Raw genomic sequence first — 26,933 nt, 5'->3', positions numbered from 1 at the left:
TGTTCTTTTGTTTCCAACACTTCAAATATTCATCTGTCTATTAGTCTTCCTTTAATGGAGCATGGAGTCACAAATTACATAAGAGTTACACATGGAATAACATATTTTTCAAGTGGACATTCCACTACAAGATAGAAAAAGATGGCGTCAAAGCACAGGCAATCTCAAACAACTCATAACATGTTCTGTGAAAATCAGTGAATCTAAAACTAATAACCTCCCTAACCTTTCAAACAATCCCTCAGGTTGGGTTTGTTTTTGTTTTTGTTTTTGTTTTTGACTTTTCACAGAGGACACTAGCAGGCAACAGGTAATTTCAACTTAGTGTTACATCTGGGCATCAAGAACCTCTGAGGTCTAATATATAATACAGCATTCAAAACAGCAGGGGGCTGCATTATTTCTCATGAGAGAATGAGGCAATTTAATATTATAATTTTACAAAGGTGTATTTTATTTATGACCTCAATATCTGCCCATGTTCCATGATACTGTTCCCCTTGTTTGCTAAGGAAACTTCCAGATTCTGCAGCACTGTGTTCCCTTTATAAACTCTCCTCACTGGATGGGACTACAAAACAACATAATCCAGCAGAGCTTTCTGCAGTGCTGGAGATGTGCTATGTATGTGCTGCCCAGGACGGGGCCACTGACCTCCCCTGCTGCTGAACACTTGAAACAGGACCAATGTGACTGAAGAACTAAATGTTTAATGCTACTTCATTCTAATTACTATTATCATTGAGACAGAATCTCCCTCTGTCGCCCAGGCTGGAGTGCAGTGGCGTGATCTTGGCTCATTGCAACCTCTGCCTCCCGGGTTCAAGCGATTCTCCTGCCTCAGCCTCCCAAGTAGCTGGGATTACAGGCACCTGCCGCCACACCCGGCTAATTTTTGTATTTTTAGTAGTTATGGGGTTTCACCATGTTGGCCAGGCTGGTCTCGAACTCCTGACCTCAGGTGATCCTCCTGCCTCGGCCTCCCAAAGTGCTGGGATTACAGGCATGAGCCACTGCGCCCAGCTCATTTTAAGTATTTTAAATAGCCACATGGAGCTAATGGTTACCATATTGGACAGGAGAGTAAACCTAAAGCATTTAAGCCACAAAGAGACCTTTGCCTCTAGTTGTGCATGCTGAGATACATATAACTTAACCCTGACTCCCAGCTCAATAACGCAGGGTTTGCTGTTATTCTTACGTCAAGAAGATAGCAAAATCTCCTACTGAGCTGTACAAAAAGCTTTAGGGTGCTATGTGACCACATCGCCCGCCTGCAAAGAAAGCCATACTCTTCCTGTCTTAGCCAGTGGCACTCAAGACCCAGAGGAGTCGGGTGGGGTTGAGCGCGGTGGTCCATCACCAAGGATGCGTGGGGCAGAGGGAAGTCAACCTCACATCTCCGGGCCCCCAAGGACAGGGCTCCTTCAGCCACCCAATTACTACCCGCCTCCTAAACCCTTCAGCCAACAGCTGAAAACCGTAAAATTTCTAAAATCTGAAATGTGTTTCAAGTCTGAAGTCGATTAAGAATAAAAATGAGGGAAAAGTGAAACTGCAGAGCACTATGGCAGGTGGCTTCCACTGCCCTTACCATGCCTTCTCCCCTAACATCGCCACCCAACCCCACGCCCAGGAGGAAGCTGTCTCTTACAATTAACCTCAACCATCTGGATTCCTTTTTCTCTCCTCCTCTGTGAGGAGTAGGAGTGCTTAAGTGGCCAACGACCATCATCTGGGTACACTCTTGCTTCCACACGAGGGAAATAAACGCCAGTTCTTCCCACCAGTTCCCTGGGTTCTACCCACAAATCAGATAATCAATTTAATGAATCTCCTCCAAGAGCTTTTTCTCAGCTTCCGTGCCTCTTTAAAGACTTCAGGTCAGAACTAGAGAAAGCCTAAAAACGAACACAGATAGGCTCCACTCTAAGCAAAAACCGAGACACAAAAATCAGCAGTGTGATTATATGCTTTAAAGCATTATTTCTCGCTTTAAAATAATTCATCATAATTGTTTGTTTTTTTATTTTAAAAACAGCAACCTCCTATGATGAATTTGGAAGTATTGTGCTTTGAAAATACAAATAGCTACTAGAATAAATCAATTATGTAAAGAAACATTCAGGCTCAGAGCAGAGCTGTAACTCTGTGCCTTCTATATAAGGCAATTCAGTGATTACAAGTAAAATCTCCTACTTCCAGGACCATAAACAAACTTTGACCCAGGATTCTTATGGCTACAAAAAATTCCATGTACTACAGCAGTGACTAAAGAGGTTTTTCATAATTACAAAATAATCAATCCTTAGTTATGTTTATCCATTTAATTATAAAGATAATTATTACAAGCCTATGTTTTCCACATTATATCTGGCTAAGTACTTGAATTGCTCCATACTTACGGCTGAAAGGGAATGAAATGCTGCTTATCTTCATCATCTACTTTTCCATTTATTATATCTGTTACATCCATCACTGGAGACAAAAAGAGAACAGAGATTGTTTTGGCTTAAATGCTATAATCACAGAACACAAACAAACAAAGGAACATCAGAATATCTTCTGGCAAACAACAGCAAAAGCTGTTTTCTCATAGTCAAGTCTAAATTATTTCCATGCTTGAAAGACAAATTAAGTTATCAGAAAATGCTGGCCCAAATGGAATTGGGGCTCAAATGGCAGAGTTCCATTTAATAATTTCCTTTGCCTATTACCCAACTGTCACCCTAGAGCTGCCCTGTCCAATAGAACTTTCTGTAATGATGGAAAATGTTCCATTAACAACAAGCAACGAAAATGTGAAAGCATAGGCCAGGCGCAGTGGCTCACACCTGTAATCCCAGCACTTTGGGAGACCAAGGCAGGCACAGTGCTTGAGCCCAGGAGTTCGAGACTAGCCTGGGTAACATGACAAAACCCCATCTCTACAAGAAATACAAAAATTATCCAGGCGTGGTGGTGTGCACCTGTAGTCCCAGCTACTCAGGAAGCTGAGATGGGAGACTTGCTTGGGCCCAGGAGGTGGAGGTTGCAGTGAACAGAATTCACACCACTGCCCTCCAGCCTGAGTGACAGAGTGAGACCCTGCCACAAAACAAAAGAAAAAAAGAAAATGTAGAAAGCGTGATGGAGGAACTGAAAATTTACTTTTATTTCATTCATTTAATTTAAATTTAACTAGTCACATGTGACAAGTGGTTACCACGCTGGCCAGCACTGTTCTGAAGCCTCACACTTTTGCTTTCCCGCAAACAATTAAGCCAACAAGTAGCTACCATTTACCAAGCACCCACCACATGCTGGTATCTGTGGACGCTCTTTCAAGAGGACACTTCAAGGCAAATCCTCAGTAACCTACCATACTGACAAGAAACTGAGGCTCAAAGACAGGCATGAACAAGCATGCTCAAAGTCTACAGCGAGAAAGTCTCCAAGACCCAAGCTCTTTCAATCCTATTAAACTGCCTTCACAAACACACCCCCCGGGAGATCCAGGCTTGCTAACATCACAAGAAAGGCTAATATCCTTTGCCATCTTCTTGTGTTAAAAGACATTCCCTGATGACATTCAGGGGTAAACCCAGACACACTGTCTACCTTTCAAACAATTCCTTTTGCCCTTGGTCATGACAGAACAAGAAAGTCCAAGAATAACCCCAGATGGCCCGGGTCACTTTCCCTGTGTCTGCTACTGCTCCACCGCCACACTGGACTTGAGAGGAAGATGCCTTGTTTATTTTCTTCGCACAAGACCTTTCCCCAGAAGGGTCTCTCTGTAGCCCAGCTCTGCGTTCAGGTAAGAGGATCAGTCTAAATATATTTTGTCCAACATGTAAGTAATCATATATTGAAAATTTTCCTTTCTACCATCACCATCACCACCCTCCAAAAAGGAGGAGGGATACATAGAACCAAAAAAGCAGCATCCTCATCCCCTGTTTGGTCTGGTGGGGCCCCAGGGGCCTCAGCAGTGTCGTAAGAGACGACACCCACACTCACTCCACTCAACCAAGGGGCCTCAAAGAGCCAGGAGCCCACGGCTGTGTTTGCAGATACAGGTCAAAGAATCCCAAATAACTTGCAACATCAAATGACAGCTGCTCAGAGGATGCATGGTCTGGACACGGGCCCTCACCTGGCCTGGGGGAAGCGTTTCCCAGCTTCCAGCACTCTTGGGGGTGACTGACCCACACGCGACTGACTGCAGCACCCACCTTTTTACCTTTTTCCAAGATGCCCGAGACCACCAGTTCAGCATCCTTCAATAAACTCATTTAGGCAGCAGCCCACGATGAGCCAGAACCAAGGGAGTCTGACCCGAGCAGGCCCACCCTCACATGCCAGCTGGTCCTGGGTGGCCTTGCTGGGTGCCTGCAGAGCTCTGCTCTGCCATGGGACTCATCTCACCAGCTGACCATGGGACTCCCTTGCCACATCCCCAGTGCCCAGCCCTGGAACACAGGACCATGTGCAGGAAGGCAGCAAACAAGCGGGAAACGCAATCAGAGCCTGAGCACCCACAGGTGGAAAACACCCCGAGTCCCGCACCCATCCTGAGCCTCGAGGAGAAGGCCTTGACGTCACCAGTCATCACCGCTCATCGCGCTTCCCAGGGACTCCCCTGACTGCTCTTCCGCACACAGCCCCACGCAGAGGGAGTGCTCCCTGCAGTTTGGACAAGATGTCCCTGACACCAAAGGAGGAAATAAAGGACTTGGGGGAAAAATTCCCCCAGCCAGCCAGCCCAGGGTCTCTACATTCAGGGAAGAGGATGGTGAAAAGACAGAGTCCAGCTGAAGTCAGTACAGCTGTGTGAGGGAGAGGCCGGGTAGACAGACGGCACCGCGTGATGCTGGAAGACAGAGGGCAGGAGAAGGAAGGAGGCAGTGGCGTTGGGACAAGAGTGACAGAGGCCCAGGGCCAGCACAGGCAGGAGAGCAGAAGGCAGGAGGTGAGAAACGTCTCGCAGGGAGAGGGGCTGATGGCTCAGTCCCACTGGTGGGGCTGCATCAGGATGACTTGCTCACGGCAGATGGACCCCCACACCCTGCGAGTCAGCAACTCCGCTGCAGGGGCTGGCCTGCAAACAGGCACAGGTGGGATGCTTCAAGCCCCAGGATGCTCACTGCGTAGCTACTACACCGCAAGGCTGAGATAACCTCAGAGCCCAAAGCAAAGGACTGCTGGAATCACAGGACTACAGGCTGCAGCCATTGAGAAGCCGAATTTTTGAATAATGCTTAATAAAAGGACATGTTCATAAGATAATGCTAGGTTTGTTAGAAAGATAAAAGTATGTGCAATGCAAACATACTTACTACTGAACTGCACGCCTAAAAATGGTTAAGATGGCAAAAAAGGGACTAAAAAGACATTAAAAAATCAATCAGTTAAATAAACAAATACATGGTAGGACGGGATATTGTATTTAAAAATCATATGCCACACACAGAAAAAATAATTTGGAAACAAACATATCAGAATAAACATGAGGTACTACCCTGGCTATGTAAAACTATGGATAATTTATTTAACTACACTTTTCCATAAAATTTCCATTATTTTTACAATTTTCTATCTTTTAGAAAAAGATAGAAAAGGTTACATTATAAAAAGGTTAAAAGACAGAAATGTGACACATTCTTTTCAACCGAAGACTAAGAACTGTAGACTTAAAGGTCCATGGACACTTTCTCATTTTAAGGAACTGAACTCTGTTAACACAGACACGCAGAAGTCATTCTAAAGAAAGCCTCAAAATTAAATTTGCATGTGGAAATTGAAGTAGCCTATGAACAGATAGAATACGATTACCAAAATGTTGATCAACCTTCTCAGATGTGGGAAGCATCCCTTCTATCCCTTTTTTTTTTCTTTTTGAGTGTCTCACTCTGTTGCCTAGGCTGAAGTGCAGTGGTACAATCACGGTTCACAGCAACCTCAACCTCCCAAGCTCAGGCAATCCCTCCTGCCTTGGCCACCCCAAGCATGCGCCACCACGACCGGCTAATTTTTGTTTTTTAGTTTTTTTGGGTAGGGATGGGGTTTCACCATATTGCCCAGGCTGGTCTCGAACTGCTGGACTCAAGCAATCCACCCACTTTGGCCTCCCAAAGTGCTGGGATTACAGGTGTGAGCCACTGCACCCGACCAAGTATCCTTTCTTAGTAACAAAGAGAACATCTGGTTGGACAACACACTGAATAAGTTAGAAGCAAGTCCTATTAAAAAAAATTCCCCAGATGTGCTGAATGCCACCATGTGATAAGCGGGGCAGAGCAGGGAGGGCAAGGTAGTCTGGTGGCAGCAAACTGCCAGTCACTGAGTGGCCCATAGTGACAAACAAGCGATTTTGGTTAAAGTAGAGATTCTGGTTTACCTGGACAGGAGTGGGGCTTGTGCAAGACTTTTTTCTTTTTTTTGGGGCGGGGGGGTGGCGGGGCAGGGGGCCGTTGGGGGGGACAGGATGACTCTGTAGCCCAGGCTGGAGTACAATGGCACGATCATGGCTCATTTGCAGTCTCAACCTCCCTAGGCTCAGGTGATCCCCCCACCTCAGCCTCTTGAGTAGCTGGGACCACAGGTGCAAGCCACCAAGCGCCCAGCTAACTTTTGTATTTTTTAGTAGAGACGAGGTTTTGCCATGTTGTCAGGCTGGTCTTGAATGCCTGGGCTCAAGCGATCTGCCTTCCTCAGCCTCCCAAAGTGCTAGGATTACAGGCATGAACCACAGCACCTGACCAAGAATTTTTATTGATAGCTCGCAAGATTTTTCTCATATTCAGTTAGGATTGAGAACCACTGCATTAAGATATTTACTTTTTGTGCCAAAAATTTACATAGCCAGATCACATAATGAAATGTCTCAGAGAAGAGTTTCTAGTAGGAAACTGGAAACTCCACAAGCAGAACGATCAGGTCCTTACTTTTGTTTTGTTTTGTTTTGTTTTCTTTTCTTTTTTTTTTTGAGATGGAGTCTCGCCCCATCACTCTGGCGTGATCTTGGCTCACTGCAACCTCCACCTCCCCAGTTCAAGCAATTCTCCTGCCTCAGACTCCTGAGTAGCTGGGATTACAGGCACACAGCACCACGCCCAACTAATTTTTTGTATCTTTAGTAGAGACAGGGTTTCACCACACTGGCCACGCTGGTCTCGAACTCCTGACCTCATTATCTGCCTGCCTCGGCCTCCTAAAGTTCTGGGATTAGAGGTGTGAGCCACTGTACCTGGCCTTTTTTTTGGGGGGGAGGGGAGACAGAGTCTCTCCCTGTTCCCCAAGCTGGAGCGCAGTGACACAATCTTAGCTCACTGCAACCTCCGCCTCCCAGGTTCAAGCAACTCTTCTCCCTCAGCCTCCTAAATAGCTGGGACTACAGGCATGCACCACCATGCCTGGCTAATTTTTTTATTTTTCGTAGATAGGAGGTTTTACCATGTTGGCCAGGCTGGTCTCGAACACCCAAACTCATGTGATCTGCCCACCTCAACTTCCCACAGTGCTGGGATTACAGGCAGCGCCCAGCCAGTTTCTTACTTATAATGTACAGACACACACCAGCTGAGCAGGGCTAGGAAGGCTGGCCCCTCTGGAGTGAGCACAGAGGCCACAAAGGCTCAGTGCTCAGTGCTTGGCACCAAGGGATGAACAGGACATCCCCACCCAGGGCATGTAGTGGAGCCAGGCAAACCAGCAACTGCTAGGCAACTGTGACACCAGAAGGGACAGAGAACTCAAAGGACCCGGCAACCCAACATTAACAGCTGCAGGCCTGAAATCTTCCCACAGAGGAAAACAAATGCCTATGGGTATCTCTGAAGCACTTCACACAGGTTCACACAGGTTCACGCAGGTTCATGCAGGTTCACACAGGTTCACACAGGTTCATAAAGGTTACACAGGTTCACGCAGGTTCACACAGGTTCACGCAGGTTCATACAGGTTCAAAAAGGTTCACGTGGGTTCACACAGGTTCATAAAGGTTCACACAGGTTCACGCAGGTTCATGCAGGTTCACACATGTTCTTAGAGGTTCACACAGGTTCACGCAGTTTCACACAGGTTCATGCAGGTTCAGAGGTTCATAAAGGTTCACGTGGGTTCACACAGGTTCACACAGGTTCATAAAGGTTCACGCAGGTTCACACAGGTTTATAGAGGTTCACACAGGTTCATGCAGGTTCACACAGGTTCTTTGCAACCCCTAAGTGAGGGGGGACACCCCATGTGCCAGTCAGAGCAGAGCAGTGAGGAGAAGCCACACTCTGGAAAATTCACGAGCAAGACGACAAGGCTAGAACTTGGCCCCAGGTGGGTTTTCAGAAGCCCCGATATCAGTGGGTACCAGAGACACAAGACAGGAAGGGAAGGAACCAGAGACCAGTCCAGACAGGAGGAACCAGGGACCAAAGGGGGTGTCCATGTGATCAGCAGATATCAGGGGACAGAAGTCCCTGGAGGCCACACAGCCAGGCATCCAAACTCCAGGGACCAGATGTAGTGTCTCAGCCAACACTACACAGGTAGGGGCTCCAGAAACAAGGAACTATGTCCAGGCTGCCCGCCCTGCCCCAGTGAATAACCCAGGCTTCTGTAATTCATGGAGAACTCCAGGAGCTGGGGGGCCCAACCTAACTCTAGACCCCACCAAGCAAGCATAAGTGAGCATGTAAGAAACAGTGGAAGGCCACAGTGGTGTCAGCTGAGCCCATGCCCATCACCCTCTCCATCCATTAGTACCTAGACTTTCCTGGAATATCAACCCAATGAAAACTGAAAAATATTCCAAATTTTTAAATTCCAAAAATTTTAATCAAAAGAAGGTAAAAACTGTCAGCCTGTGGTCTACATTTCATCTTTAAGAAATATAACTACGCATTCGTAGGAACTTATGACACAATCCATCTTGTAATCTAATAACCAGAGAATGTGTAGCTCTGCTGTTGAAAAGAGGAGCGACTTCCGTGTGTTGTCAAAGATGTCTCTGATTGCTCAAATGAAGCCAATTATGCCTGAGACAAAAATTAAATATTTTCTTAAAACTACCATCAAGGTGGAAAAGAAAAAAAACAATCCTGGAAAATGAAAGGCATTTTAAATATAACACTAGATTACATGTAAAAGATGCTACAGGCTCTGACAAATAGAGGGGCAATTTTCAAGTATGTATTCAAGTCATGACATGAAAATGTTAGCACGGCATGTGCCTGTGGTCCCAGTTACTCAGGAGGCTGAGGCAGGAGGATCACTTGAGCCCAGGAGGTCGGGGCAGCAGTGAGCTGTCATCACACAGCCTGGGTGACAGAGTTAGACTCTGTCTCATAAAAACAAAAAGACAGAAAGATGAAAATGCAAAAGGATTTCCCCAGCCCAAGGCTGTGGGGACTTCAGAAAGAACACCTCACCCTCACCATTTTCACTCACAAATGGTAAAATCATTGGAACACTCCGTTAGTTAGCTCTATGGGTAAATTGAATTCAAGTAAATTGAATTAATATGCTGCTCTCATAATGTCTATATCGCTGCTATTGCTTACTCCTTATGATGTAGTAAGTCATTTATTTAAATGATTTGAAATATTTTTCCAAAAATTCCAGGCGGAGCACAGAGGACTTTTAGGATGGTGAAGCTACCCAGTGAGAGACTACAATGGTGAATATACGGTATTATTCATTTGTCGAAACCCACAGAAGGCACAACATCAAGAATGAACGCTAATGTAAACTACAGACTTCACAGGGCGACGATGTGTCAATGCGGTTCACCAACTGTAATCAATGTACCAATCTATGGTGGATACTGATAATGGGGAGGCAGGGGGAAGGAAGGAGAAATATATAGGAACTGTCTGTATTTTCTGTTCAATTTTGCTTGAACCTAAAACTCTTCTAAAAATAATGTTTATTTAAAAGGCAGGGGGGATGGACTAAGTTCAGAGTTTCCTGGTAGCCAAGGGAAAGAATGTCTTCCATAGCTGTTCATACAAAAAAATCCAGCTATGTGTCAAGAATCAGGAACTTTTCCCTCATAAATATCCATATGAATCCCAAAAATCACAAAAATTAAAATAAATATCACAGTGCTAGGTAATGAAATTGTACTGCAACCATAAAAGAGAGAAAACCACTTCCCAAAACTATGAAAAATGAGAGTCACAGTGAACTAGGGCAAATAATCAGAACTTCCTGGGTATGCCTTTATCTTTCCTCAACAGAGATAATTGGTCTTTCACATTCCTCGTGCTGTCACCAAAAATAACAGAGCAACAGCAGGGTGGAGGAAGAGCACCAGCACGGTGGAGGAAGAGCACCAACATGGCAGATAAAGAGCACCAACATGGCGGAGGAAGAGCACCAACATGGCGGAGAAAGAGCACCAACATGGCAGAGGAAAAGCACCAACATGGCGGAGGAAGAACACCAACATGGCGGAGGAAGAACACCAACATGGCGGAGAAACAGCACCAACATGGCGGATGAAGAGCACCAACATGAAGCTAACCGCGTTCTCTTCACAGTTTGCCTTTCTTCCTCTTCTTCGTTGCTTTGACCGTCCTGCACATATCCATTCTTATGTCCATCACCAAGACCTGAAAACCTCCACTGACTGGCTTCCCTACAGACTGAGAATATGGGTCAGGATCACTCCCAGGGAAAGATGGGATCCACTTTAAAACCAAATATATGATTTATATCTGAAACTTGAGGACTAGAGCATCCTGAGCCTAGCAGGTCAACTTGAAGCCACAATGAAAATAACTAATAAATATATTTTTTCTCTCCAGCAGAAAAGCTTATAAATCACAGCTGTGCATTGTCCAATCAACATTCAACAGTGATTCTTTTGAAAGTGACTGTGAAGATCTGAAACTCTCAAGGAAACACAGAGAAATAGATTACCAGCCACTCCAAAAGGTCGCCGCAACCCCGAGGTCAGTTTCCTGGTGTTGTTGTCCCTCAGCTCCATGCGACCCACGCGAACAATCTGACAGACAAAACTGATTTTCTCCCTTTTCAGGTCTTTGCTTCCGAGGTCCTAGAAATATTAGTTTCCATAAATTATTTTGGAGACCCATTATTCAATGCAAGCTCCAATGAAAAGGACAGTAAAAAAATGGATTGAGACTCTTCTCAGACCAGTTTTTATCATTTTAATCAGTTATTCATATGACAAAAAGGAATTTAATAACAATAGTCAATTACTGTTAAGTGAGCTTAAGATACACATTTAAGGGCTAGGGGCAGTGCCTCACACCTGTAATCCCAGCACTTTGGAAGGCCGAGGAGGGTGGATCACGAGGTCAGGAGTTTGAGAGCAGCCTGGCCAACATGGGGAAACCCCATCTCTACTAAAAATACAAAAAATTAGCAAGGTGTGGTGGTGCATGCCTGTAATCCCAGCTACTCGGGAGCTGAGGCAGGAGAACTGCTTGAACCCAGGAGGCGTAGGTTGCAGTGAGCCGAGATCACGCCATTGCATTCCAGCCTGGGTGACAGAGCAAGACTCCGTCTCAAGGAAAAAAATAAAAACGATACACATTTAAGAGGCACATTCCATGTTAATGGGGTAAATCTTTGTCACGGTGATTCTAAGGGTGGCTAGAGACTCAGATGATTTCTGGAAATGCGCTCTACTTAGTAATACTAAATTAACCTGTATACAGGCATCCCAGGGACCCATGTTCTAGTGTCGCAGGAAGGCAGACAGAAATGGCTAAAAGTAGTCCTTAGAATGGTAGCCAATTCAACTAAGCATCTTTGGGTGCACTTACAGTAAACACGGCTCGCAAATTATGTAATCTGTCTATGTCTTTAGGTAATCCTGAACTGGACCAGCGAACCAGGTAGTTCTCACTTGAAAAATGGAGAAATAAAAGCAAGTTAATTTTCCAAATAACAGGGTACCAAATGTACATCCACATTGCTTCATAATTAATACCATGTACGTGCACTATACAGACAACTATTGAGTTTATAAATATCAAAAGTATCACATACAGCTACTCATCAATTAACATCCACAGCACAAAAACCTTGCCAAGTTTTAATGTGCAATGTCTTGGGTTGTCACTGTAATAGAACTACTTGCAAATGGTATTTCTAAGTTGGTTTTTTTTTTAAGAGCCTATTTGTTCATTTAGAATGACAATACTATAAAATTCAGCACAATGCATGTTTATTTCAAAACCTATGACAAACCAAATACATTGTAAAATAAAAACTGCATCCTATGTCAAGAGGAAACAAAGTCTTTATCAGAAGTGAGAATAAAATCCACTCGTATTTTTCTGTATCATTCATACACTAAGTTTTCAAATTTTGAATAATACAAGTGAAGATACTAGAGTTTTAACATATACACAGACACACACATAATTCATACATAGTTGAACCACATTGTTTCCATCTGGGCAAAGAGAAAGTTATACTGAAGGCTAAGCAGGAAAAAATAGACTTACAGTGTTTTCATTTAACAAATATTAACTGACAGTCTGTATGTGGCAGGCACCATTCTAAATGATGTATTCCAGCCAATCATCTTGCAGAAAAAACAAGACAAAACTCACAGAAATGGCATTCATAGAAACCAAATTTTGAAAAATGGAAATAGTGATATTTGAGGGACCAGGATATATAAAATCTTACGAAGACAACTTAGGAAACAAAGTATTACTTCAATCTTCAGCTACACTCTTAAGATACGGCCAGAGTGTACCTGCAACTGCTATAACTCTACGAGCAAATAGCAATCTACACGCAAGAAGGTTCACCCTGACCCAGAGCCCAACCTGGCTGCCATCACACTGTCTAAGACAGCTCTTGACTCGGCTGCTTGCTCGTGTCCAGCAGCCATTCATCCAAGGCCTCTCAGCATGAATGGGACGCTTCAGTGGTTCTGATCCCAAGTTCCTAACACTAACCAAAGAGGAAAGACGGCAGCCAAGAAATGTCACCCACCTGATGAATTTGGACTCCACAGGGTCATATAGAGACATGAGGACTTCAGCATCTTCTCCTATTTTACAAACCACATTTTTGAGGTTCACAAACAAGGCCAGAGAAGGGGTTGCAGCAAACTTGGCTTGTCTGTTAATATCTATGTTCTGCTTTTGAGACTGTGTATGGAAGGAAACAGAAAGTCAACCCCAGCAACACTCATCACTGACACTTGCTTTCTTTATTCCCTACAGAATAGAAAATTGTAATAACTCATTGGCATAACCCAGCAAAGGCCTTGGTGCAGTCACTTTCTTATCTCCCCTGCACATTCTTAAATCATGCATTCACACAACAGACAAAAAATTGTATCCTGTGCAACTGCTGTGCTGAGTATTTTCAGAGATACAAAACTTTCAGGTGTCCATCCAATAAATCAAAATAATGATTATATATGTGTAGTTATTTAATTTTTTGTTCCCTCATTAGACTAAACCCTCCAAGGACATCTGTCTCATGTATCATTATGTCTTCAACATTTGGTACACAGTAGATGCTCAGTAAGTACTTGTTGAATTAACAGATGATTCAATTAGTCAATTTCTGAGTATCTACTGTGTGTGTGTGTATATATATATACTGGTGGGAGGTGACTGGATCATGGGGTGGATTTTTCATGAATGGTTTAGCACCATCCTCTCAGTGCTGTCCTCATGATGGTGAGCTCTCACAAGATCTCGTCGTTTAAAAGTGTAGCGTGTAGCACCCCCCCGCACACCCTCTCTCTTCCTCCTGCTCTAGCCATGTGAAGTGTTGGCTCCCACTTCGCCTTCCACCATAATTATAAGATTCCTGAGGCCTCCCCAGAAGCAGAAGCCACTATCCTTCCTATACAGTCTGCAGAACCATGAACCAATTAAACCTCTTTTCTTTATAAATTACCCAGTCTCAGGCACTTCTTTATAGTAAGGCGAGAACAGGCTAATGCATACATGATACCATTAAAGATCATAGAAGACGAAAAGACAATAAGACATGTACTCTCTGCCCTCAATGAGCTTGGAATACATGACCTGCCTACCATTATCCGAGAGGAAATGCAGAATCAAGTCTTGTGTCTCATTTGACAGATGAGAACACAAAATCAACATCATTAGGATCCTGTCTCCTACGATGAAACACAATGCTGTCCGACCCCCTTTCATGTCATGGGTGACATCCTGTGCCACCAGGCTCCATTCCACTCATGACTGTAGGACACAAACTCTGCAGCTACTCCTTTTCAGGTTCTTTCTTAGTGACAATTTTGGGCTTGACTGATACTTTACTAATGTTGAAAACTTATTACTGAGAAAACGTGAATGGCATATGACAGAGTCAAACTTACTTTTTCCTCTTGTAACCTTTCCTCCACTTGTTTAGAAGCTATTTCATGAGCTCTGAAGAGACTAATCGTGCTAGTTAATTCTGGATCCAAAATATTCCCATCTTCATCTCTAACCACCAGGTCCAAATCTAGAATTCTAGAACAACAAGAATTTAGTAAGTTCACAGACATAGACCAAGGAGGCTGAATTTTCTAGCACAACTTCCACCACAGCAACTGGGCAGGTAAAAACAACCTAGAAACTCGGGCTTGCCCAAAATATTAGGAATATAAAATTCTTGGAGGCTGCTTTCTTTAGCTTAAAATGTGTCATCTTGGGAGAAGTAAAAAAAAAAAAAAAAAAAAAAATCCTCAATTTTTATTTCCATTGCAATCAACAGTGGCTTTGTCTTGCAAGGAGAAGTTTTACAGATCTACAAGGCCCAAGTGAAGTATGTATTACTAATTATTATGTAAAATATGAAAAGTTTTAAGGCATACTTTTTTTTTTTTTTTTTTTTTTTTTGAGACAGTCTCGTTCTTGTTGCCCATACTGGAGTGCAGTGGTGCGATCTCGGCTCACTGCAACCTCCATCTCCCGGGTTCAAGCAATTCTCCTGCCTCAGCCTCCCGAGTAGCTGGGGTTACAGGTGTGTGCCACCACACCCGGCTAATTTTTGTATTTTTAGTAGAGATGAGGTTTTGCCATGTTAGCCAGGCTGGTCTCAACTCCTGACCTCAGGTGATCTGCCCACCTCAGCCTCCCAAAGTGCTGGGATTACAGGCGTGAGCCACTGCACCCCACCTAAGGCATACTACATATGTACACACACACACACATTCACATATATATGCAATCACATATACATCCATCAACCCAAACACATAGCTGGCAGTTGTGACATCATCAGAGAGTTGAGGAAGGAGAGAGGGAAGAAAACTTGGAGGAGAGATCTATCCACCACCTTTTTACTCCCCACTGACCCCAATAGGGATCCCTGCATGTCTCCCCTTCTACTTCGAGTCCTTACATGAGGCCACAGGAAGATTTTCAATACAGATGTTCTATTGTATGTGAACACCAAACATATGGACGTTATCTACAATAAGGTTAAGCAACTTCCTGGCCAGATGGCTAAATGTAGTCACCAACTAAAAACACAAGCAACATCTGGCTAATAAATCTGTCCAGTCTATAACAGTACATTCTCCCTCTCCCTCTCCCTCTCCACGGTCTCCCTCTCCCTCTCCACGGTCTCCCTCTCCCTCTCTCTCCACGGTCTGCCTCTGATGCCGAGCCAAGGCTGGACTGTACTGCCGCCATCTCGGCTCACTGCAGCCTCCCTGCCTGATTCTCCTGCCTCAGCCTGCGGAGTGCCTGGGATTGCAGGCGCGCGCCGCCACACCTGACTGGTTTTCGTATTTTTTGATGGAGACGGGGTTTCACCGGGTTGGCCCGGCTGGTCTCCAGCTCCTGACCGTGAGTGATCTGCCAGCCTCAGCCTCCCGAGGTGCTGGGATTGCAGACAGAGTCTTGCTCACCCAGTGCTCAGTGTTGCCCAGGCTGGAGTGCAGTGGCATGATCTCGGCTCGCTACAACCTCCACCTCCCAGCCACCTGCCTTGGCCTCCCAAAGTGCCGAGATTGCAGCCTCTGCCCGGCCGCCACCCCGTCTGGGAAGTGAGGAGCGTGTCTGCCCGGCCACCCAGTCTGGGAAGTGAGGAGCGCCTCTTCCCGGCCGTCATCCCGTCTAGAAGTGAGGAGCGTCTCTGCCCGGCCGCCCATCGTCTGGGATCTGGGGAGCGCCTCTGCCCTGCCGCCCCGTCTGAGATGTGAAGAGCGCCTCTGCCCAGCCACGACCCCGTCTGGGAACTGAGGAGTGTCTCTGCCCCGCCGCCACCCCGTCTGGGAGGTGAGGAGCGTCTCTGACGGGCCGCCCCATCTGAGAAGTGAGGAGCCCCTCCACCCGGCAGCCACCCCGTTCGGGAGGTGGGGGGCGCCTCTGCCCGGCCGCCCCGTCTGGGAAGTGAGGAGCCCCTCTGCCTGGTGGCCACCCCGTCTGGGAGGTGTACGCAACAGCTCATTGAGAACGGGCCATGATGACGATGGCGGTTTTGTCGAATAGAAAAGGGGGAAATGTGGGGAAAAGAAAGAGAGATCAGATTGTTACTGTGTCTGTGTAGAAAGAAGTAGACATGGGAGACTCCATTTTGTTCTGTATTAAGAAAAATTCTTCTGCCTTGGGATGCTGTTAATCTATGACGTTACCCCCAACCCCGTGCTCTCTGAAACATGTGCTGTGTCCACTCAGGGTTAAACGGATTAAGGGCGGTGCAAGATGTGCTTTGTTAAACAGATGCTTGAAGGCAGCATGCTCCTTAAGAGTCACCACCACTCCCTAATCTCAAGTACCCAGGGACACAAACACTGCGGAAGGCCGCAGGGTCCTCTGCCTAGGAAAACCAGAGACCTTTGTTCACATGTTTATCTGCTGACCTTCCCTCCACTATTGTCCTATGACCCTGCCAAATCCCCCTCTCGGAGAAACACCCAAGAATGATCAATAAATACTAAAAATAAATAAATAAATAAATAAATAAACAGTACATATTTTGGGGAATATTCTCTCTGATTCCTCAAATCCAACAAAATTGTAAGATGATTTTTACCACAGTTTTTATTTAAAGAACACAGACAACTGTGTAACAAAAGAGATCAAGAGTTGTGATCTGGCAGTAGGTTCTGGCTTTCTTGTTAACAAAACACGCAGGTCTAAGGGCAGAAAATTAACCATAGGTGCCTCTTACCCGTTAGGATTATATTCCTGTAATTAACAAGCCGATGGAAACAGGCTTTTTTAACAATATGAAAAAGGAAACAGAGTCATTTGAAAGAATGATAAATTTCAATTAGAGAACATCTTTATAGTTACAAATTAAAGAGGAAAGTTGAATTGCCAATAAATGTTCCATCTAAAAAACTACCCTGAGACTTCGAGTCTTGAGGTCACACACCTTAAAGCCAGATACGAGTCTGCCAGCATCTCAAACATATTTAGTCTTTGGAGTTTTGCTCAAGCACTGTACCACTGGGAAGACAAATACAGAAAACTGATTTTTTCCTTTTAATATCTATTGAGCAAATTCCACTGACAGTGAAGCAGGAGGACCAACTGGGCCTGTCAACAGCATCAGGGTAAACAGACTTTAAACAAATAGAGGCTTTTTGCACTGCATGAAAACAGCCGCAGTGGCTGCAATGTAAGCAGGGTGCCTCAAGACCAACAGAAAGACATCTGGAGAAAATGTAAAAAGCATTTTAAGGTCTCATTAGTTATTTTTGTAATATGTCTCACTAACAAAGCAAGCTCCTCCCTCCCAAATACTACTCCTTATCCTATCCCTGAACCGGCCCCTAGGAACGTGCTGGTACAGGCAGGGTCAGTGACGGTGTGGGCATGGTTTGTGCTGGTGTGGGTGGGGTCAATACTGGTATGGGCAGGGGTCAGTAATGCGTGGATAGAGTCAGTACTACTGTGGGTAGGGCATGGTCACTTCTAGTGTAGGCATGATCAGTTCTGGTATGGGCACGTCAGTGCTGGTGCCAGGGCAGCTACAAAGAACCAGCTTAGGAGGCCCAGCCAGTAGGTCCTACAGGCCACGCAGAATTGGGTTCCCTCAGGGAACACACGAGAGGACGGCCCTGTGCCAGCCTGCTGTGCACGTCCTGCCACATCATCACCTCACACCTGCCAGGGCAGACCGTCAGACCCATTGCACAAAGGAGGAAACCTAAGCTTGGAGAAGTTATTTATTCCAAAACCAGATCCTGGGTTCTGTATCAGAACTCTCCAATGGCAGAGCCATGCTCCTTCCAGAATGCCACATGCAAACCATCAAACGAAGTGGCCTGTGCAGTCAACCCTTCTACGCATTGTTCTCAGCAACCAGTGTTCAGCTGGTTCTGAATCAGAGTGAGTTTCCATTATGAAGGTGCAACTTATCACAGCAAGGCAATGGAGAGATGAAGTCCATGGAAGCCCAATGCATCTATGAGGACAGGGTGGGAGACCTCCCCACCTGAAATCATGTGTAGAACTGTGTGTGTGTGTGTGTCTGTGTGTGTGTGTCTGTGTCTGTCTGTGTGTGTGTGTGTGTGTGTGTGTGTCTGTGTTGGGGGGGTCTGTGTGCCTGTGTTTGTGTATTGTGTATGTACATTTTTCTAGAGATATGGTCCAAGACCTTCATCACATTCTCAAACAGCTCCTCAAACCCCTCCACCCAGGTTAAAAATCAATCAAAAAAGCAAGAATGCCTAAGCGATCAATGAAAAAGACGCAAAACATCTTTTCCTTATTAAATCCACCCACCTTAAAATCAAACATTCAACACTGTGGTATCATTTTGCATCATTTAGGTTTTCTGAAGGAAGAACTAGGAAGATATATGCAGAGCGCTGGGCTTTGGAGAAATTATGGAAGAGCCTGGAGATCCTTGGGCAAAAAACCTGTCTTATTAAGGACTGTATTTCCTATCAAAGTAGTAAACTGTATTTGGAAACACTTCCTTCCTTAACTAGATTTTTCCATGATACAATGTACTTTGCTAGCTTCCTGCAGCCAAATTAAGCAGGTGGTCTCTGAACATAAGTTTAAATTATGATACTCCAATAGAAAATCAAATCAAAGCTCCAAAAGTCTGCTTTTTTAAGCAGGTGGTCTTGAAATGGGTTTTGCTGCAACAATAGCTAATATCTCAGGCTTTCTGGAAAAAAAAATAAAAATCTCTCCTACAGCATTTCTAATCCAAACCCTACATCTTGCTCATAACGTTGCTTTAAGAAGTTTTTCACACTTCAAAATATAAATTACCAGAAAATTATGTGATAATTCTGATTTTACAGAAAGGTTCCTTGATTTACCCGGACTCCTTTCTGCTGAATGGCTGGAAGCAAACCCCTTCCCTTTTCTGACTTCCACATTCCAATGTGTAAAATGAGGGGGTTGAATTAAACCAGAAGTTTTCCAAATCTGCTGTCCAGCACAACCCAACTCTATTTTTAAAACTTGAGATTTCCGGCTGGGAGCAGTGGCTCTCGCATGTAATCCTGGCACTTTGTGATGCCAAGGCGGGTGGATCACCTGAGGTAGGGAGTTTGAGATCAGCCTGACCAACATGGAAAAACCCCATCTCTACTAAAAATACAAAATTAGCCAGGCATGGTGGTGCATGCCTATAATCCCAGCTATTCGGGAGGCTGAAGCAGGAGAATCACTTGAACCCAGGAGACGGGGATTGCAATGGGCCAAGATCATGCCATTGCACTACAGTCTGGGCAACAAGGCCGAAACTCCATCTCAAAAAAAAACAAACAAACAAAAAAAAAACACTGGAGATTTCCAGCCAGCATCCCAGATATCACAAATCAGAGCCTTAAGGGGTAGGTCTTGGGATTCTATAATTCAACAGCTATCCCAGTGATTCTGAAATAGAAGAGCATTTGGGAACCATGTGACCAGATACTTTTTAAGGCTTCTTGCAGCTCTGCTATTCTATGAAAACTAAATATTACCAGGTGGAAAAGGGCATGGCCTCATTCTAGTTACAGGACCCAGCAGAATTAGGATCAGAGCAGCTTGTTTGCTTTCAGCATCAAAAAACACGTGCTAACATAGAAGGTACAGCTGTAGGCAGGGGTGAGCACTAAAGGCACTCATGCAGAGCTGGGGGGATGCCTGCTATGGATGGGAAGAACTCTTGCTCTGGCAAGAGACATAACTGCACAAAGCAACTATTTGTTGTTTATCTGCAGTGAAATTTAACTGGGCTGTATTTCTGTTTGTGAAAACTGGCAAGCCTACACAGGTGACAAACTTTCCAGTGATCTAATGTCCACTCCAATGCTCAGAACCTGGGATTCCACAGAAAGAAACCTGTTGCTTGTCACTATGCAAGGCCCCCCAGATCTGGACTCAAAGTCAAAAACTATGGTCAGAAAGTAAAAGTTCCTTGCTAGGGGAGTAATGATGGGGTTCCCTCCAGAACGGTGAAAATGACAGGCTCCCTGGCTTCTTGACTCTATCCCTTGAAGAATGACAAGGTTTCAAGAATGGCTCACAAAATTCCCCAGTTCAGAATCCAGTGGAAAATACCTCATCCTTTTCAAAATGAAAAACATGCCATTACTTTGATGGTAGAAATTTTGTTTTATGATAAAATATGATCTTGGTCTCCTGAAGACTTATAGTGATGTTATTACATTGGATAATTTAAGCGTAAAATCATCTTTCAAATAAACAAACCTGTTTCCATAATCAATTTTGGCTGTGACCTTCTTCTTCAGTTCTTTGAGTTCATCCTGAGGCAGAGTTCCAGAAAGAATTTGTGATCGCCATTCAATAAGGTCATAGATCATGTGCCGCACACTTCGAAACATCTCCCTGTTATCTTGCTATACGGGGAAAAACCCAATCAGAAAGATTTTGTTATAAAACAGCATTGTGGAGATGGTAGAGAATGGCTATCTCTTCAAATACGCATGAGGTATAAGCACTAGATCATGAGATTTAGTTAATGTTGAATTAAAAGGTGCTTTCAGCATAAACTAAAACATATTATACGGAATTTGGTTTCCATGCGACATTAAAAGATTAAAGGAACAAAAAGTAATGCATAATCCCCAAGACTTCATCCAACATCCTGTGTCCCACTGAAGCAAAAAGGTGATCCCAACAGGGGCTAGACCTTGAGCGTCAACACCTGCTCGTGAGCTTCCTGCATCTGGATCAGAGATGGGCAAGTCTAAAGCTCCTCCGGAATTAGTCTGAGCCTAAAGATCTGAATCCTACAACCTACATACGGTCTTCAGAACACCCTGCACCCTGGACCCTTCTCAGCACACTGAGAACCTGAACTCCTCGGCCTCGCTCTCAGCTCAGCTATAGGGAAGAAGAAGCATTCCACCCTGGGCGGGCTGCTGCACACTGTGGTGTGTACAACCCACAAGAGACACTTCTGCAAGAGGCCAAATCTCAATCTACAAGCTCTTGGTGCTTTGTGACAAGAGGAAAATGCAAATAAGATGCAAAACTCACACTTCTTACCACTTTCTAAGAATTTTGATGGGATTGACGGTTCAAAGAAAAGCAACAGTTTGCAGCTTGCAATTACAAGCGTACAATAATCAAGGAGATTAGGGATTATCTGAAGGAAAATAACTCAGTGGTTCTTTCCATGAAAAGAAATTTAGGTGGAACCTAATGTGATAAAACTCTAAGCATGCTGGCCTTGGTAGCTCCGGCCTATAATCCTAGCACTTTGGGAAGCAGAGGCGGGAGGATTGCTTGAGTCCAGGAGTTGGAGATCAGCCTGGGCAACATAAGGAGACCTCATCTCTTCAAAAATTAAAAAAATTAGCTGAGCATGGTGGCTCACAGGTGTAGTCCCAGCTACTCAGGAGGCTGAGGTGGGAGCATTGCTTGAGCCTGGGAGGTTAAGACTGCAGGGAGCTGTGATCATGCCACTGCAATCTAGCCTGGGCAACAGAGCAAGACCCTATCTCAAAAAATAAATAAATAAAAAGGTATCTAAATGTCATGGTCCCTTTAAAACATTAAATTTGTTCACTGCCACTTTTTTAAAAAACTCCCCCTCTACATATCTAAACCACGTACTGAGCTCACTCTGGTATTTAACCTTCTTTCTAGGAGTTTCTAATATCCACGCTGCCTTCTCTTGTCCACTGCTCTAAGGCTGTATCAACTATCTAAAATCCTTACTATTTTGCTAATATCTACAATGTGCAGCAAAAAAATGCATTTTTTTTTTTTTTTTGAGAAGGGGTCTCGCTCTGTTACTCAGGCTGGAGTGCAGTGGCGCAATCTTGGCTCATTGCAACCTCCGCCTTCCAGGATCAAGCAATTCTCCTGCCTAAGCTTCCCAAGTAGCTGGGACTACAGGCATGCTCCACCATGCTCAGCTAATTTTTGTATTTTTAGTAGGGACGGGGTTTCACCATGTTGGCCGGGCTGGTCTCAAACTCCTCACCTCAAGTGATCCATCCGCCTCGGCCTCCCTAAGTGCTGGGATTACAGGCATAAGCCACTGCGCCCAGCCCATATAAAAATATTATAGCCATTTTGGGGGTTAGCTTTCTTTGCACAAATCCAACCATGTAAGTCTATCAGAGGCAAATTTAAGTTTTGTAAAAGGAAACCAAGGTGCTCATTAAGAATACCTACTCTAGGGTTACAGACTTAAGTAGGTCCACTGACTATGAGCATCAACTCCTGTTTGTTTTGTTGCCATATTTTTGTTTAAAAATTGCTAAGTTGAAGATGAAACCCTGACTACAGAATTGCTCAGATTTACACAAAACATTCATGGCTAACTTTACGCTTTTAGGTTTTTCAGTACGTTTGATGACAATTACTGCAACTGCTTATTACTGTGCATTTATAGGAAACCACTGTATAATCAAAAACAACAAGCCTGCCCAACAAGCAGCTGCAGGACTTTAGGAAGTTTTCTATGTTCTCAAGAAATGAACGTACCGACTTCCTTCCAGAGCCCTGGCTTGGTGGTAATAACATTAGCATATGAGAAATCAACACTCTGAATAGAAATACAAGCTTAACAAAAGGTAATCTACTGCAAATATGAATTTATGTGCAAAGAAATGCCCCGAGGGAATACGAAATGGAAGATGTCAGAGCTTCAACCTCTCTGCATTAATAAGACTTCTTCTGTGATCAGGAGAACTGGACAATTGCACACGAAGCTAGAATGTAAAATATTTCCCTATTCCTGTCACAAACACAGGTAAATCTAGAAGACTGTTGTTTTTCTTAAATGATAAGAGGTATTACCTACTGTCAGACAACGGCAAAAAAAAAAAAAAAAATAGTAATTGCCCTCTACCGGATCCTTAAATAAGCACCTATTACTGTTTAAAAGGTGACATCAACACCCACTGCCCGATCCTGCATTCCAGGGGCCTGAAACAACCACATTTCTCCTTCCAATGCAAGGAAAGACACATCCTACAGTCCCTTCTGCTACAGCTCACTGTAATACACCCAAATACATGGCAGGTCGAAGGGCACACAGCCCCCAGCAGGGGCTAAACTCTCAGCCATGTCGCTTCCTTTGCCAATTCCGAGTAAAACTCTGTCTCGGAAGCTCTGCTTTTAAGTTTCGCTGAGAAAAAAAAACATCCCATTGGCATATCAGGGTCAAAAAAGCCCACTCTCTATTTCTAAGCTTTGAATGAATATCTCATTTTCTCACCACGTAGAGCTGCCTCCAGATGGTGGACCACTCTCGGAGTGTCGTGGTGACTTCCTGGATGAGGGGGAGGTCACCCGGGATGACTGTTTCATGTTGCCTGGGAGGAAAGAAGGAAAGAGCAGCTGAGTCCACGGTTTCACTGCCTGCTATGAGTAGTACCTGGTAAATTTCACATCTAGGCCATAGCGTTCAGTATTAAGCAAATGGGAAGAAAATCTACAAATAAGACTGCATGCACACATATAAATACATACGTCTCTACGAATGACAAGTTATATTTGTACAGAGCTTGGGAAGGTTCATACATTACCCTGCACGTAAGCCATCCACCTCATACGTCAAAGTAAGATGAAAGAGGCAAATAATATTCCATTAAAAGTCTACAGAATGTCAAGGTCTGGCAAAAGGAAAGTATATTCATAATATGTGTACCCATCTATCTTAAAGATGCCATAAATTACAGCCGGTCCATGTGGCATTAAAATGCAGGTTTGGGTTAAGATTACTTTTACATTTTCCATCACGCATAAAACTCATTACATGATAATACAGGAAGCAGTTATCCTTGGCGAAATATGAGAGAGGTTACAGCTTCCAAATGTCCATGGTTACTCTATCTGATGCCAACTCTGATTAAACTCTGTATCCTCTTTCTTATCCTTTTTCCTCCGCCCCAAAAGTTTAACCTTTGACTTACTCTTCTTTTTTGAAACGGTGTCTCGCTCTGTCACACAGGCTGGAGTGCAGTGGTGCAATCTCGGCTCACTGCAATCTCTGCCTCCCAGGTTCAAGCGATTCTCCTGCTTCAGCCTCCCAAGCAGCTGGGACTACAGGTGCCCACCACCATGCCCGGCTAATTTTTGTATTTTTAGTAGAGATGAGGTTTCACCATATTGGCCAGGCTGGTCTTGAACGCCTGACTTCAGGTGATACTCCCACCTCAGCCTCCCAAAGTGCTGGGATTACAGGCATGAGCCACCGCGCCCAGCCCCTTGACTTATTCTTAACTCATTACCTATTTATGCGCTCGTTTTCATCAAATCAACCACTGCTTCCTGGGCATGTGCTCTGGGTCAGGCACTATGCTAAGTAAGACTCAGACTACTGAGGGTTAGGGGGAGAGAGTGAATTTGTGGCTGGTGTAGTTAGGCTAGCTGGCCCCACAGGTTGTCTGTGTGTCCTGAACAGGCAAGAATGTGGCCAGCATGGGATGCCGAGGGATGCTACAATAGTTCCCACCTACAACCCTTGATGTGCACAGAGCCCAGACCTGTGGAAGGAACCCTGACTGGCTCACGATTGGAGATCAGGCCTGTGATGACTTATTGACAGTGGAGGGGAGGATCCCAAAGCAACAGACAACGGGGACCCTGGAAGAACGGTGGTCTCATGGATAGTTCCAGAACCAGACATCAGAGGGAAGGGTGCAGGCAAAACCATCCCCTAGAAAACTGCTATGAAGAATGACCCTTTGGGCTGGGTGTGGTGGCTCACGCCTGTAATCTCAGCACTTTGGGAGGCCGAGGTGGGTGGATCAGGAGTTCGAGACCAGCCTGGCCAACATGGTGAAACCCCGTCTCTACTAAAAATAAATAAATACAAAAAATCAGCCGGGCATGGTGGTGCGGGCCTGTAATCCCAGCTACTCAGGAGGCTGAAGCAGGAGAATCACTTGAACCCGGGAGACGGAAGTTGCAGTGAGCCAAGATTGTACCATTGCACTCCAGCCTGGGCAACAAAGCGAGACACCATCTCAAAAACAACAACAACAAAATGACCCTTTCATGGGCCACCATCAGTGTCTACTGAAGAACATGACTATTAAAACAGCCCTGCCAAGGATGTCCCCAAGTTTCCCAGTAAGGATGCTGATGGAAATGCGGTTCATTACATGCTACGGTGTCATCCCTATAAAGTCTGCAGGGAGAAATTTCCTTCCACTCACAGTATGAGGATCTGCAACAACGACTGGGCTGTTTTCATCTTACGGATCCTGGGTTGAGTGCACTGGTGCTCCTCACACTGGCTATGAGAAGCCTGGAGCTCAACGACCTCCCTTCCACCATGTGAATAGGGCCTCAGTGCATGCACCATGTCCTGCTGTTGGTTCTGGTTCCACCTTAGGTTCCTCCCTTCTGGTAGGCCCAGTGGATCCCTGGGATTAATGTGCCAGCTGGCATTAACACATTTGATCTGGCTTTATTGTCTTACCTTTGTTACCACCTTGTTACCTGCCAGTGTTCAAGAATATGTAACCCCAATAATGCCTGCCTCATAGGGCTGCTGGTAAGACTGAGGGAAAGTGCATCAAGGCAGAGCATCTTTAAGAATGAATGGGGCTCCACGCGGTGGCTCACGCCTGTAATCACAACACTTCGGGAGGCTAAAGCGGGTAGAGCACGTGAGGTCAGGGGTTCAAAGCCAGCTTGGCCAACGTGGTGAAACCCTGTCTCTACTAAAAATACAAAAATTAGCCAGGCATGGTGGCGTGCGCCTGTAATCCCAGCTACTTGGGAGGCTGAGACAGGAGAATCGCTTGAACGCAGGAGGCAGAGGTTGCAGTGAGCGGAGATCATGCTACTGCACTCCAGCCTGGGCGACAGAGCAAGACTTCGTCTCAAAAAAAAAAAAAAAAAAAAAAAAGAATGGGACATAGGGGAGTGGGGAGATGATGGGTCAAAGGGACACCGAGTTTCTGTTAGACAGAAGGAATAAGTTCAACAGGCCTCCTATCCTACACCAAGGTGACTACAATAGCTATGTATTGTATACTCGAAATTGCTGAGAGTAGATTTTAAGTGTTCTCACTACAAACAAATGATAAGTATGTAAGGTAATGCACACATAGTTTGATTTAGCCATCCCACAATGTATACATACTTCAAAACATCATGTTGCACACCATAAATACATACAATTTTTATTTGTCAAATCTAAAAATAATTTTTTGGCCGGGTGCGGTGGCTCACATCTGTAATCCCAGCACTTTGGGAGGCCAAGGCAGGCAGATCACTTAAGGTCAGAAGTTCAAGACCAGCCTGGCCACCATGGTGAAACCCCATCTCTACTGAAAAAAAAAAAACACACACACACACACACAAAAATTAGCTGGGCATGGTGGTGAATGCCTGTAGTCCCAGCCACTGGGGAGGCTAAGGCAGGAGAATCACTTGAACCTGGAGGCAGAGGTTGCAGTGAGCCAAGATCTCGCCACTGCACTTCAACCTGGGTGACAGAGCAAGACTCCATCTCATAAAATAAAAATACACAATACAAAATAAAAATAATAATAATTTTTTTTGAAAAGAGAATGAATGGGACATAGCAGATGCTCACCCAAC

The 26,933-nt window shown here is 44.8% G+C and overlaps 1 protein-coding gene and 1 long non-coding RNA gene across 25 annotated transcripts in view, besides 1 other annotated feature; one reads left to right on the top strand and one right to left on the bottom strand.

Annotated features, from left to right (window-relative positions):
- The window catches only part of DOCK1 (dedicator of cytokinesis 1), a 547,089-nt gene that overhangs the window by 441,307 nt on the left and 78,849 nt on the right, over nt 1-26,933 (bottom strand). For 21 of the 24 annotated variants that reach the window (XR_007061946.1, NM_001377544.1, NM_001290223.2 and 18 more), the window contains 7 exons: nt 23,593-23,689; nt 20,607-20,755; nt 14,327-14,462; nt 12,961-13,118; nt 11,775-11,856; nt 10,903-11,038; nt 2,406-2,478 (listed from right to left, as the gene is read on the bottom strand). Coding sequence is in view for 23 of the 24 variants with exons in the window: in NM_001377544.1 (NP_001364473.1) it covers nt 2,406-2,478; nt 10,903-11,038; nt 11,775-11,856; nt 12,961-13,118; nt 14,327-14,462; nt 20,607-20,755; nt 23,593-23,689 (831 nt within the window). In the remaining variant the exon portion in view is untranslated. The remainder of the gene's footprint in view (nt 1-2,405; nt 2,479-10,902; nt 11,039-11,774; nt 11,857-12,960; nt 13,119-14,326; nt 14,463-20,606; nt 20,756-23,592; nt 23,690-26,933) is intronic. The other 3 variants (NM_001377554.1, NM_001377558.1, NM_001377560.1) reach the window with 2 other exon arrangements.
- On the top strand, nt 3,725-10,305 carry LOC107984059 (uncharacterized). Its single transcript, XR_001747639.2, has 3 exons — nt 3,725-3,799; nt 9,601-9,655; nt 10,218-10,305. It is a non-coding gene; the product is annotated as an uncharacterized LOC107984059 (long non-coding RNA).
- Nucleotides 9,996-11,195: an enhancer, noted in NCBI's record as "MED14-independent group 3 enhancer chr10:128798279-128799478 (GRCh37/hg19 assembly coordinates)". NCBI's record gives its function as "activates an origin of replication core promoter dependent on BRD2, BRD4, P300/CBP and CDK7 cofactors, and independent of MED14, by STARR-seq in HCT116 cells {active_cell/tissue: HCT116}" and the evidence as "EXISTENCE:reporter gene assay evidence [ECO:0000049][PMID:35650434]".

The sequence above is a fragment of the Homo sapiens genome, chromosome 10 (assembly GCF_000001405.40).
Source record: "Homo sapiens chromosome 10, GRCh38.p14 Primary Assembly".
Classification (NCBI taxonomy): domain Eukaryota; kingdom Metazoa; phylum Chordata; class Mammalia; order Primates; family Hominidae; genus Homo; species Homo sapiens.
The sequence above is the reverse complement of the archived record's forward strand: the minus strand, read 5'-3'. Positions and strand labels throughout refer to the sequence as shown.